This window comes from Homo sapiens, chromosome 18 (genome assembly GCF_000001405.40).
Source record: "Homo sapiens chromosome 18, GRCh38.p14 Primary Assembly".
Lineage (NCBI taxonomy): Eukaryota > Metazoa > Chordata > Mammalia > Primates > Hominidae > Homo > Homo sapiens.
The window spans coordinates 38694315-38709261 of NC_000018.10; the positions used below are offsets into that span (position 1 = coordinate 38694315).

Consider the following 14947-nt stretch of genomic DNA (forward strand, 5'->3'; position numbering starts at 1 on the left):
AACAGACTGTAAGAAGAAACAATAGATGTAAGAAGAATGTCTGGTGATGAAAGCTGGTATTTCTATTCTGGAATTGGCAAATATTAAATGGACTTCAGGAAAGATGAATGTCAGAGAGGAAATAAGAAATAGATGTTGGTGACCATCCCAAGAAGGGGCAACATTTTTATTAGACTAGAGGTACTAATTATAATGCCAAGTAAATGGAACATAAATGCATATTGTTTGTGATGCAAATGGTGCCTCCTTGGTCAGAGATCATGAGCCACCCCTTGCAATCTTTCCTTTCTCAGTCTTATACCTCTCCTAAGATACAGACTACACACAGACTTGCATGAAAGTTGTTTATACACTTTTGCTCTTTGCTTGATTATAAGTCATTTGAGAGAAAATACTGCCTTTTTCAGAATATTTACCATATGAGACTCTTAGCCAATCCCAGACAAATAAAATAAAACAGATTTTTCTTAGTAGACTTATCATTTAGTAGGGCCACATATTAAGCTGGCATGCTGTTCTATATGTCAGCCTTTTTCTATTGTGTGTATGCTTTTATACACACATCTACATATGTCTGTTTATATGATAGAAGGGTCGGGGCCTGGAGAAAAATATAATATTTATTTAATAATGCATCATTTAGGATGCTTTAAGATTCAGAATGCTGAAAATATGCCTTAAATTAGCTTACACAATAAAGAAAATGAAGTATCTCAATAATAGTTAAGCACTGAGGTCCATTACTAGGCTAATTCAGTGGCTTCATGATGACGTTTGAACGTGGGTTGCTTCTGCCTTTTAGTTCTATCTTTCTCTACATGTTGTCTTTGCCTTTGCCTAATGTCCTTCATTGATGCCCATGGCAATATCAGTTTAGGTGCCCTATACAGGAACATAACATTCAAAAGAGCAAGTATTTCTTCCTCATGTTCTTTGTGAAGTGAGGGAACCTTTCAAAGAAGCTCCCAGGAGACCACCCCTCACTTCTTCATTGGTCAGAGACAGTCCATTGGCAAACTCTAAATTAGTCTCTGGCAAAAAACATTAGGACTCCAAGTTGCTTAAATTATTGAGAATTATCCAAGTCACATTGGAGAGGATTGGGCACTCCAGAGAAATGTAGTTTTGCCTGCAAGGAAGAAAAAAGCAATGGTGATAATGTCTGATATAATAATAATAATAATAATAATAATAATAATAATAATAATAATGGTAACTAACATTTGTTGAGAGGTTACCCTATTTGAGGCACTGTGCTAAATAGGTAACTATAAAACGCACTTGATAAACATGGCAACTCTGCAACAGATACGCATTCTGAAACTAACACAATTGAATAGACATGTCCAAGGTTACATAGATAATAAATGACAAAGAGGAGAGTAGAGATTTAAAGTGATGACTGTCTGTCTTCAGAGCAATTACTCGTTCTGGTGTTCCACAGTGAAGTCTATGAATGAGCATATGCTTTTGAAGCCTGTGAGTTTGGATAGAGATGTGTTTTGTTAGTTCAGTGAACTCTTTGCTGGAACCACCATGGCCACTTCCTTTAACATGTAATAGGCTAATCTAAACATAGTACTTGCTGACTGTAAATTTTCTTGTAATTGGAATATAAAAGCTGGTTTCAAATCTCTCTTTCAGCCTTTCCATTAATGATCTGTTTTAGAGTCACTCAAAATCTGAATTTCTTTTCAATTAGACTGACTTAGAGGAGGCTAGAAGCTGGGCATAGTGGATGATTCAATCAGTCTAAGGCAGGGACTTGTGAAATTTGACCGTGACTCATTTCTTCTCCTTAAAGACAAATATTACTAAGAAATAGCAAAGCTGTATCCTCAGACAGTTCTTTGCAAGTTGCCAAAGGCAGCTTCCACTGAATTACCCATCACTGGAGCTTCAAACTGGCGCTCAGATCTCATTTTAAGAGGAGACAATCATTATATGTGAGTGTTATTTTTATAATCGCCAAACTCATATGGTTTCATAAAGCATTTGGGAGAGTTTCAAGCTGAACATCCCTCTACATCCCTCCCTTCAAATCCAAATGCCAAGGTTACTCTACTGTTCCTGCCTAGCCACAGCCTCTCCAGTCACTCAGCAGTTAAGAACAAACCTTCCCTACATGTTGACAACCTCATTGCTTCTATGTTTAAGTCCTCTAGCAACTCCAGGTTTTATGTAAAGATCCAAAGCAGTTCTTGACTCCACACTGACACATTGTTGTACAGCTGTTTAATGTGAGGGGTGATGGGGGGTGGAATTAGTGATTATCTAAACCCCAAAAGCACTGAGGGGTTCCTTACCAGGATTGCTGCTGAGGATGAGGATTCTCTTCCAGTTATTGTCAACTACAGTGTCCGGCAAATGGCCGACCCATAATAGGTGTTCTGAATAAATCTTTTCTAATTTGCCTTAATTTACCTTTTACTTAGTTTAGCTGTCTCCACCTCAGTCTAAGAATATATTCTGAGGTAGAAACATACAGCAGTATGAACAGGGAGGGCGTCATGAGTAGATTAGATACATTCAACACTGCTAGAGCAGAAATGGCCTGTAAATGTTTATTTACCAATCATCTTCTATGCGACAAAATTTTACTCATTTTTTCTTGTGTAATTCTTTTCTCCTTTATTTTTTGCTCATATCTAATGTATTTTTGGCCCAGTGACAGACATTGCCCCCTATTCAGACGGGGAACTACTAAATATTCTTAAAATGCAAGCATCCCTGCTAAATATCTACCCTGCTTTACTCAACCGAAATGCTGAAAGACGCAAGACTACATCCATCAGCTTCTTAGATGCACTGACAAAATAAAAAATTCAACATATTCACAGGCCTCCATCTACTCTTTTTTGTGATTCTGTGGCCTCAAGCTGCTTACTGCAAATTAGATTTTGCCTTAATATGCTAACATTAAATAAGGGAATTGGGCGCTAAATAATTAAGTTGTGAGAACTAAAAAACTAAAGCAATCTATTAATACAATATGAACATCCCTTGATTATATTTGCAGAGTGAATTTACCTGATTTAAATGGTGAATTAAAAGTGAAAGTTAAATTGAAATTTAGAAGAAAATGTGATAATAAACCACCACCATTCTTTTTTATTTTTATTATTTTTCCATTTTGCCTTTTCAGATATTAGAGCCTCCACTTGGTCATACTACTCACATAAAGGCACATCTTGATCATAAGGCCACAAGAGGTATCTCTTAATTGATATACTAGCTTTTACAAAAATACTCATACTCAGTCTTCTCATAACCCCCATCCTAGAGGAAATATTTCTACTGCATTTAATAGATATTACTTTGTAATTGTTCTTGTAAATTTGTGGACTGGTGTTTTATTGCATGACATTTGAAATCATGTAAAAGGTATTGTGGCTTGCTTTCTTCACTTGCTAATATTCTTGGTAAAACCAGGCATCTCAGGGTAAATATCTCTTCTCTTTGCAGCTCTTTAATGAAAATTTTCATGTGTGTGCTGTGTCTTGTTCATTGTGTCAGTGAGGAGCTTTATGAGACATTTTCCAGTCCCCAAGAAAATACTTTGGAAAAAACAAAGAACCAAATCCTTTTCTCATGTAATAGACACGGACTAAAGCAAAAGGTCAGTCTAAGAATGAAGACCATAGAGAGCATCAGGCCTTGGTGATTAAGGTCAGGAGCTCCATTCCTAGATCCAGGATATTGTAGGGTAAGGTTTAGCTGGGACCTGAGGAATCCTGTGAAAATAAAGAGGTTAGATTTTTGTCCAGTAGGTTGACCTTGCTGTGATGATGATGTTATCTTGAAGTCCCCCCATCGGGGGAGGGGAGGTCCTGAGGCTCATGTCTCCTGCCCTGGGTGTAGCTGAAACTGCAGCTGAGAGACTAATAAGCTTAGATTTGAGGTGGGGAGTGGAACTGAGGAAATCAGGGGCCCTAAACAAAGAGAACTAAGGACCGACAGGGAAGCACCCAGTACAAGGGACATCAAAGACCTGCTAGAACAAAGGCCTGCCCTTGGGAGGGCAAGTCAGGCCTCCTTTGGTGAGCATATGAATATACATACATTGAAAATCCCTGACTGTGAGAAGGTTAAGGGAGGAGACAGCAAAGTGAAAAACAACCAAATAAATAAAAGCCAACCAAATAAAGAGTCATAAATACTTTCTGAATTTCTCATAAAGTCCACACTATCTATTCTGTTTCCTTGAAAAATTGAATTATGATTCTTGAAAATCACAGCCTTATTGTATTTTTCCACGGTCTCGCCTTAATAGATGATGAATCGTTAAGCAGCACCTGCCACAGACAAGAACCTTTTGCAGTCACAGTGCATTTTCACCCTGTGAACTGCAATTAAGCCCATATTTTTGCTTCCCAATCTATCTCATTAGCACAGATTTGAAAAATAACTAACTACAAAAGTTTCACATTTGCATGTAGAGACTTAATAAATTTCCCTTTCCTGACTTGTAGCCTGGAAATTCTGAGTGGAAAAAATAAAATATATGGAGTCAGAAGGCCTGGGTTTGAGTACTATTTCTGTCACTTTGTTTTGTTTTATTTATTTGACTTGAACAAATGGATCTCAGCATCCAAATTTATAAAATGAGGTTAATATTAACCACTTGACAAGAGTTGGAAGGATAAAATAGAATGAAATAAAATACATGAAAGTTATAGTGTCAGATTTACAAACACACACACACACACACACACACACACACACACACTCAATGCTTACATATACCATTCATTCACCATGTGCACTTTAATGTTTTAATGTTTTGGAAAGTTTTCTAATGATGGACACTCAGAATGCTTCCTGCATCTCCTTGAAGTGCTCGCCCTTAGATCTCAATATATATTAATTTAATTATTTCAGACTTAACTATTCCCATGATCTAAGGGACGCCATATAGTCCTACACTATTAAGATGGAAACCTTTCATAGCAGGTAACCTACTCCCTTTATTTCCTGTGTTTCCTCTCCTACTCAAACAATGACTCCACGTTAATTTCACTAAATCACTACTTCTCACATAGTATGACTCTACTTAAAAACATCCATGAGTTTCTCATTTTCTACAAAATAAGATCCAAATAAAGATCTCACTTCTTACAGGAATCTATCTTTGAATATCCTATGCACATGATATTTTATTCTTCTCTGAATTCACATTTATTCAACTTCTATGATCCTATCATATTTTCTTCTCTACTCTAGCTACTAGTTGCTGTGTGTTTTTCTTGGAGGACTGGGAGAAAAGAAATCATATCCTTTTCTTGTGCATCTCCCACAGTATCTGCTCCATTACCCTGCAAATAAGAGTCCCTCTTTCATTTTTGTTGATATTAATATTAATGATAATACCATGCAACATCAAAACCACACATAGTTTGGTGTACCTATCTCAAAGGCAAATTACCCATAAAGTAAACATAGATTATTTTATCACAATCCCACACATAGATATATAAGTTCTTTACATTTATTATAGAATGAGAGACAGACAGGGACAGACAGACACACACACATGAGAGAGAGAGAGAGAGAGAGAGAGAGAAAGAGAGGGAGAGGAGAGGACAGGAGAGGAGAGGAGAGAGTTATTGCACTTTAACAAAGGTTCCTGCTATGCTGGCCTTATCTGTGAGGTGAAGGCATGCCATTTTCTCTAATAAAGGTTTTTCTTTTCTAATGCAATGTCATCATTACCAGCTTAGATTCTTTAAGACTTTCTTATTCACAGGGAAATGAAGGAAACAGGTATCCAATGATTTCAAACCCACATACATTGATGCCTAAAATCTTCAACCCCCCGAATAAGTGAAATGGTCTGAATATGCAACCTGAAAAGGTCAAATTGGCCAAGAATATAATTGGACCCAAAATCACATTGTACTTAAAGCTACAGAAGGTTCGAACATGCCACCTTTCTGTCTCTCAAATACAGAGGGAAACATGGGTTTCACAGACCACAGGAAAAATGCACTGATTAATTACATGGTGATGTGATATTATTCCTGCCAGGATAGTCCCTCTGAAATGTCAGAAGGATTAGAAGTGCCACATCTTCCTCCCAGACTCTAATCTTAAAGGGCCCTAGGATGAAAACACAGCAATTACTTTCATAGACTGTGTCAATTTTACAATAGAAAAAAGAGCGTTCCCAACAGCAAATAATTATAGCACTGCTTAATGATTGATTTAACATAGAAAACCCATCTAATTCCTTTTGTCATTACAATCTACTGTACTAACAATCTAACAATGCTGCCTTCGTGGATAGACATTACATTAGCATTAAGAATAATGCTAATAAAACATGCAGTTTAACTTGTTATATTTTGAGTTGGCAGTGCTCCCCCATACACAGTTATTAGTGAAGCACACCTTCTAAGTGAGACCGACCAGCTGAGAATTTGCTTTTCAGCATCTGTGCGAATGCAAAAGAGCACTGTAACCCAAAGTAGTCTCCTGCATATTTCATACAGCAGGAAAGAATGTGTTTTCTGTTTTCCTAGGATATAATTCCAAAGACTGAAAAAACATAAGCTCTAGCAAATCGATTCATGATGATTCTAAATGGATCCCTATGTGGATGACATGCTAATACAAGTCCTGCAAAAGATTACCTATGGAAATCCAGCTAGTCTACAAGTCAATAAGCATACTACATTCTAAAGAAAAAGAAAACAAAACAATCATGAGGTCTGTGTGGCTTTCTTGGGGTAAGTGATATGGTGACAATAAGATCATCGCAAAACACTTAGAATGAAATTAGGAAAAGTGAAAGGAAAAGAAATGTGGAAAGTTGTCTTCCTCTACAATATTCCACAGAAAATTGTATGAGTGATTAAGGAGTTTCCAAACCCTGGTTCTGTGAGAGCACCTCAGAGATTAGCTTCAGGCCAAGTCCAGCTGCCTAAATATCTAATCCAATCAGTGGTTTACTGATTTACTGATTTATCCATGTAATAAACTAAAAATATTAACTGCAGGCCTATCCATGCTAGATGATTGGTGAAGACAAACATAAGAACAACACTTCCTGTTCTATGGTATAGTTACGGTGGATGGGTCCAGGCTCAGTGGACATTAATACACATATCATTGTGTTGGCTCTGCTAGAACCAGCTGGAGCTGTCAAGATGTGGAGTTCCAGATCTCATCTTTTCGGATGCCTCACTGGAAGCTCTGTGTCTCAATCAGCAGAAAGATCACTGTGCATCTAGGATGCTTAGGTTGCCAGACGATCTGCAGTAAATCCAGCATCATCCACTTACTACCTGTATCACATTTGTCAAGTGGACTAATCTCGCTACACCTCTTTTACTCATGTGTGAAATGGAAGTAACAGTTGAGCCCCCCACCTCCACCCCACTTAAGTGAATACATTCATGGAATGACCTTAGACCAGTACCTAGCACACTCAGTATTTGTTAGCTATGATTCCTATCCTCTTTGGAGGATCTAATTGTGCAGTGCTTCAGTGTACACTAATCTCTTTATTCTGACTCTCTTTAGTAAGATCTTCTGATGTTCAGTGGATAAATTATATATATTTTCTCTGAGAATAAAATGAATAAATGTATCATTCTATGCATTAATTCCATCAGACCAATCATTTATTGAAATTATATGATTCAGAATTCTGTTTTTCATTTTGGTCTCCAGTGAAAATAGTTGGCAATAGTCTGTTCCTGATAGTCTGCTATTTGCTGGATATATCAAAATTTTAAATCTATTGAATATGAAACACAAATATGATCCTACCATATAATTACCACCGACAAACCATGACTCAGTTTGCAACCAGATCTCTCGTTGCTGCTCACGGATTACAACTTCATATTTAACATTGTTAATAAAAATAGTATACAGTATCTTTGGATGTGTGACTTGAAGTAGAAAGGTACTCCTCTTCTGTCTTCTAGGAAACTCTTTGGTAGCTTGAGGCAGGATTGATGGTTGACTCAGAGAATCAAGTCTTTCTCAGGCTTCCTACTGATGAGTTATCTTTTCTCTCTCCCCCTCTTCCCTTCCCACTTTTTCCTCCTTCCCTCTTTCCTTTTCTCTCCCTCCCTTTTTCTTTTGCACATAGACCTTTCTTTCAAGAAAATTCTACCTCTTCCCATAGAAGAGGAAAAAGCTTGTCCCTAGATATTTTCTGGGATTTTATAAACTTGGGATTTTATTGTATGACAAACTTCATAAAATTTTGTCAAACAATAATGGAAAGGTTTGCAAGGTGGTGAAATTAAGTTCTACAACCTTGAGATTTCTACTTATAAAAGTAGGGAAGGTGTTATCACTTAAAATCAGCTTCTATATTGGAAAAATCAATGGTTGATTTTCATTTACTCAAGATACAAACACTGGGTTTTCTCAGAATACACAACATTTGATTAAAATGTATTCCCCTATTAGCATGATTTTGATGTTGACCCTCTCAATAAAGCAAGAAAAGAAAGATTAAAAAAAACCTTCATCGTATAGAGAATTTGGCTCTTAGCATCTTTAACCAGCTTTCTTTTCCCTCTAGGAGTAGTGATGCCACTTTTGATTATATTATTTGGAAATCAAAATCCTCCCATTTCCTTGGAGAGGGCTAGGAGTATGGATTTCCAGTTCATCCTATCATTCTTTCTTCATTGAAAATTATTTATAATTTCACATACATATTTCAATAAATCCCTACTTCAATCCGGTAGCAGAGTTGAGACATGGCTATTTATTGTCATTAAATGGACTCTTCCTCCAATCCCCATCTCTCACTATATTACTTGGATTGTTTTAAAAAGTGATCGATTAGGTTCTAGGCCATATCGAGCTCAGATAATGATCAAGGGATTTTTCTAGTTGATAACCTTCTCTCCCAGTACTCACACACATTGTGTCAACCCACAGAGACATGCTAACCAAGTAATGAAGGGAGATTATGGGATTAAAGTATGGGTTTTCAGAATAAACAGTGCACTGTGCCTGCTCCTGGGGTAAAATAAGGCTACTGCTCAGATAGACTGACTTTCCAGACTATAGCAGTTACTTATACAGTAGAAATAATTAAAAATATATAAAATGAAGACTTTTAGTTTAAACTTTGAAATTTGTTTTTTTTTTCAATCATTGATACTTACAATATATGTGTTTTTAACACACTTACGATTTTTGTTTTTTGCTCCAAGGGTCTTAGGCTAGGAGTTTGGCCATCTGTGCATGGCCGCAGTCTAAGTAACCAAAGGTGAACCTCTTTTTGTTTTCTGTTTGTCTTTTTCCTCCTAATTCAAAGAAGGTAGTAACAGTGCTATCCATTTTCCCCAGACTTATTTAGATGACAAGATGAGATAATGCAATGAAATAGGTACTATATGTATCAATACCAATAATTACTATCAATTGTATCATAATTATTTTGCCTTAGATTGCTGAGGTAAAGTCAAAGGAGTAAGACATAGACTTCAAAAAAGTTCTGATAAACAGTGGCTTTCAATGGGAAAAATATCAAATTTAAGGAGATCTTCTGCAATATGGCTGTGACTATCTATAAACATACCTCTTACCCATCTGATTAATAAATTATTCAGCCAGGCTCTTCTCCAAATCCAACTCACTCATTCATTCCCACATGTGTGACCTGCTTTCATAATTCTGGAGTGCCTTCCCCATCCCCTTTCCACTTAACCACATGATACCCATATTTCAAGACGAGTATATACCTTCCTTTATTCCTAAAGACTGAAACTGTCAGTTTTTTGTACTGTCACCACAAAGCAAAGAACCCACTGCCTGGAGCATGGGAATTCAACATATGCTTCTTAAATAAGTGATGAAACACCTAGTCTACCACAAGACTAAGTATTTATTCCATGGGACAATCTTATCCCCACCAGGGTACAATATTGGAACAATAGCACTTATTTTTTATACTATAAACTCAACAATTAAACTCATAAATTTAGTAATTTTATTATGTTCAAGTCCTCTTTCCCTAACTAATTTATGAACATTTTGAAGATAAAACTGAGAGAGAACCATTTCTCCTATGTTCATAGCAGACAGTATGTGTTCTCTCTTCTGGGTATTCAAATTTATTGTAAATATCATGTTACTCAATACATACTTTGTATGCATGGAAATATGAAAATGCAGATGTTGATATGAGACATACAAAGCATTTGCATTGAAAAACTTCCTAAAAGTGTTCAAGGATGGAATTTCATACATTATCAGATTTTTATTCCCTGCCTAAATTTTCAGTTGGCATAAATTAAGGATTAAATATTTCCAGAGTTATTGAGGAATAGTTCTCTGTGTGTGTTTATGTGTATGACTTACAGACAAGTCCATTAGACATAATTATAAACTTCAACTGCTCATTTATTCAATTTATTTTTGTGACAGTCAATGTCTATGGAATATCTGATTCTCTCCATGTTACAGTGGATCATTCTGTTAGACATATAAAATGGCTACACCTTTCAAGAGAGGGAAGGCTGTAGTTATAGCTATTTGCAGATTTTATTATCTCAAAAACTTCTAATTGTAACATATTTTAGCCATATTTCTCAAATATAAGACTCTAGCATAGACAGGCTAAGTGCAGAAATATGAAATCATGCTGAATCATTTCTCGGCATAGTTACAAAGTTTGGCTTTGTTTTCTTCCAGAAGTTGCTACTACTTCCCGTTGAACACATAGAACAAGCATGTCCAACCCATGGTCCATGGGCTGCATGTAGCTTAGTACAGCTTTGAATGTGGCCCAATACAAATTTATAAACTTTCTTAAAAACACAATGAGGCCTTTTTGCAATTTTTTTCTTTAGCTCATCAGCTATCATTAGTGTATTTTATGTGTGGCCTAAGACAATTCTTCTTCTTCCAGTGTATCCTGGGGAAGCCAAAACATTGGACCCCTCTGAAATAGACCTGAATATTTGGCACTTGACAGCACGATGGGATGTTTAATATATGTTATGCTTCAGGAAGTACATAAAGTAGTAAGTTTTCTCTTGGCCTCTACTCTTATGGGTATTTCAATTTATTGTAAATATCAGAAACACTTTGGAATCCCATGTAAATACTTAAATTCAATCCTACCTTTCTCTTTCTGTCAGTGTGTGGGCAGCCATTTTGAAAATGAATTATGCCTAAAATTTGCTAATATCAACACAGAATTTTAGTGGTGAAAAACATGAAGTCATTTAAATAAGAAAGACAATACTGTAGGCAGGGAAGGAGAGAAAGGTTTCAGTTAGGATCATGCACAATTGTAGAGAAAGAATTATTTTCTAAGAAGCCTAATTTTCAAGGTGGGCCTCCTGGCAGGTCTCAGGCCGAATCCAGCCCACAGATATGCTTCAGTGACAATATACTTTTTGTTTTATTTTTTAAATTGGATGTGCATACTTTAATGAGAAACTTATCCTCTTCAGTTTATCACAGGCCACACCGTTTATGGTGTTTATTTTTTGAGAGACACATTTATATCACCTAGCCGACCCCTGTGGGGAAATGTCTCTTCCCCACAAATCTATTCAGGAATGGAAGTGTACTGTGAAATCTGAAGGGAGTTCAGGGCAATGCAGAAAATCCAAGTCTAGGACAAAGATTCTCCAAGTTCCTGTCCCTGGTTGTCTCTAATAGAGTCAATTAGGGTTAAACTCCTTGAGCTTTAGTTTCTTCTCCTGATACACAGCACGTACTTGATACAGATTTAGGGTTGGGTTACTATTTCATCTGGCAAAATGAAGGTCTGGGACCTGCCTGGGTTATACGACTCACTCTTCATTTGCGAAAACACATGTGCTTCCTAAGTAGGTCCAGTGATATTACCACTTAGATGACAAGAATTTTTCATAAATCAATAGGACAAACTATTAAGAGTTCTACTTGAGGTCATTGCTATAGGGCTAATTTAAACTGCACCTATATACTTCAATTAGAGATAGTCATTTAATTTGGGGTAACCAAGTTTCTTTTTAAATTGAATTGCTCTAATTAGTGGAAACAGATTAAATGTACCCATTACTTTAATCAAAGTCCAGCTAAGAACAATTTTTTCTTATTTTGAATATCTCAGTGCATTTTAAATAAACGAAATGTTGCATTAGTTAACATGAAAGTTGCAACTGGAAAAGGTGCTGTGAAGCCATCCAGTCTATTCATCTTCACAGCAATCTATTTCAAAAGTGCTTATCTCTGCTGCTATTATTACAATCGCAGAACATGACAGCACACTGCAGATCAGAGATAAAACCCAAGGCTTCAGAGGCAGCTGGAAATAACACGGCTTATAGTGTCGTGGACTCTATCCACCTTCCCCTCGCCAGCTCTAGAAACCATTGTGAGCAGACAGCCAGCTCTAGAAACCATTGTGAGCAGAGAAAATGATGTATGCTTTGGGTTTCTGTTACTACTCTTTCTGTACTTCCTCTTAGTGCTCCCTTTCAGCACTGGTTCCCTTCTTCCCAGTGATCCAAGACATGCATATTTCCTTTTCATCAGAATCCATACACTTCCAGTTCCTTAATATCAGCATTATAAGTATCAAAGGTTTTGTTTTGAATGCTACATGCTTTAAAAATTGTTCATACTGGATATTTTCCATTTGGCTTTCTTACCTACTCTCTAACTTTCACCTTTGCTCTCTGTCAAGGGCTTCTCTGCCTGCTGTTTTCCATTTGGCTTTGACCGATGGGAGGCACCAGCATAAGATCAGAGGATAGGAGAAAGGTGAGGTTGAGGTTTTCCTCCCACTCTTTTCCTGCAAGGCTATCACTTGGCAGTAGTTACAGCTACGGTCTGAATGTTCTTCCAAATTCAGGTGTTGAAACTTAATCTCCATTGTGGCGGTATTAAGAGGTGGGCTTTGGGGAAGTGATTAGGTCACGGGAAATCTGCTATTATGAATGGAAGAATGCCTTATGAAAGGGATGGAGGAAATTAGCTTAGGCCCTATTTTGCTCTTCTAACTTCTGCTACGTAGGGATACCATATTTGCCCCTTCTGCCATGTGAGGACACCTAGACAGCATCATCTATGAGGAACAGAAACCAGAAACCAAATGCTGATGGCTTAACCTTGGACTCCCTGTCATCCAGAACTGTGACAAATAATATTTCTTTTATTTACTAATTACCCAGTCTGTGGCATTTTGTTTTAGCACAAACAGACTAGGACAGTTACATTCTTGTTCTGAAGGCCACAACTTCTATTCTGCAGTCTGTCTGTCTCTCGCTTTCTTTCTCTATCCATTTCTAACTCTCTCTCTTGACCAGACTGATAACTGCTCTCCCTACCCAGATCTCCAGGTCTAAGGGTAATGTGGCTTCCCCTGTTGTTAGTCCTGTGATGGTCAACACTTTGCTGGTTATCCTTAACCCATTACACCTTTGTTAATTATCTCTTCATTAAACCAATTCCACTTTGACTACCCTTTAAAGGGTGGCATATCCTTCCTGCTGGAATGCTGACTGATACATTTCCCATCTCTTAATTTCCATTTCTTAATTCATGTCTCTGAACTTGAATAGGAAGAAGAGTCTTGCTTGTAGGACTCATTTAATACCACAGGTTTTTGTCCTTATTTTATTCAGATCTCTGCTCCATTGTCACCCACCTAGAACAGGCTTCCCTGACTACCATATATATAGTAACATCCCTCATCAGTACTTGTCTGCCCACCCTGCAGTGATTTCTTTATAGCACTTACCACCAAAGTTCAGCAACCATTTTTCCCAATAGAGTCTATGCCATATGAAGGTAAGTTTCCTGTCTGCTGAGTGTTCATGGTAGTTCATCCTTAGTGTCTAGGACTGTTTCCAGAATATATTAGATTTCGTTAAGAACTTTTTTTGTTTTCTCTTTTCCAAAATAATATTTATCCCCTTGTAAATTGAACTTTTGAAGAGCAGCTCCACTTGGGCGATGTTTGCTCTGAGAATCATAAACCAGCTGAGGCTGCACTGTGCTCAGTAGCTCCTGGCTATGCTGGGTAAAGGCCAGGTTTCCAAAACCCTGAGCTCCATGACTTTCACATGCATAAGACCAGACCTGGTGCTGCCATTTCTTATAAACGTTAAAACTTTAGACTCCACAGTTCCTGTGCAAAATTTGGGTTTTCTATTATTTTACTTTAGAATTGATTTTCTTCAAGATGAATATGAGTATAAAGTAGGAAAGAAAAAAATGTATTTCAAATAACTTTAGAGCCTAGAGTGGGAATTGGAGGTGTTTCACACATTGTCACATTTACTGTGATTGACTTACTCTCCTTCTCTCCCCAGATGTGCTTACACTTTCTTTGATTGTATGGCCAGAGCTACCTATGGCTTCATACTCTCCTCCACTGAACCTGACTCCTCTCCGACCTCGTCCCGCCTGGCCCCATCTGTCGTCCCCTGCTCTTCTATTCTTCCTGTGCCCGTCATGAACTGTGTGAGGCTAATGGTTGGTCTCTTTTCATTTCCTTCTGCCTTTTTCTTTTATTTTCTACACGGTCAGAGAAAGGACAGTAAAATCTGTAATCTGAGAACAACATCCTCAAGGTAAGGCAGGGATGCATCTGGATAATAGCCCTGTGAGTGACCAGAGGCAGTGTCTGTGTATTTATAAGAGCCCCGTGTATTTTTAACCAGCAGGCATCAAGGTCTATAACCACATTTTTCTGGGGGCCGTACTCAGCCCCGTGCTGGCCACACTAAAAAGCTCATAAATAACTTGGATCACAGGAAATTGGAAAATGATGACTACACAAATACAAGGAGAATTTTTATGTTTTCCAAATATCAGACAGCATTGACAGTTAGTTTCTCCTTGGCCATAAGTCACCATTCCTCAGACAGCTGTTAGAACTTGGTGATGGGGTAAGAGAAGTCAGATTTGGGGAAGGGCAAGACTCATAGCCTGGACCGAAGTTGTGCAATTTCCTTTTGCCTCTCCTATA

General features: G+C 37.5%; 1 long non-coding RNA gene across 1 annotated transcript in view; it reads right to left on the reverse strand.

The window, feature by feature from the left end:
- Positions 1-671: 671 nt before the first annotated feature.
- The window catches only part of LOC105372076 (uncharacterized), a 38317-nt gene continuing 24041 nt past the window's right edge, over positions 672-14947 (reverse strand). Inside the window, exon 4 of the long non-coding RNA XR_935395.2 lies at positions 672-1129. This is a non-coding gene — a long non-coding RNA (uncharacterized LOC105372076). The remainder of the gene's footprint in view (positions 1130-14947) is intronic.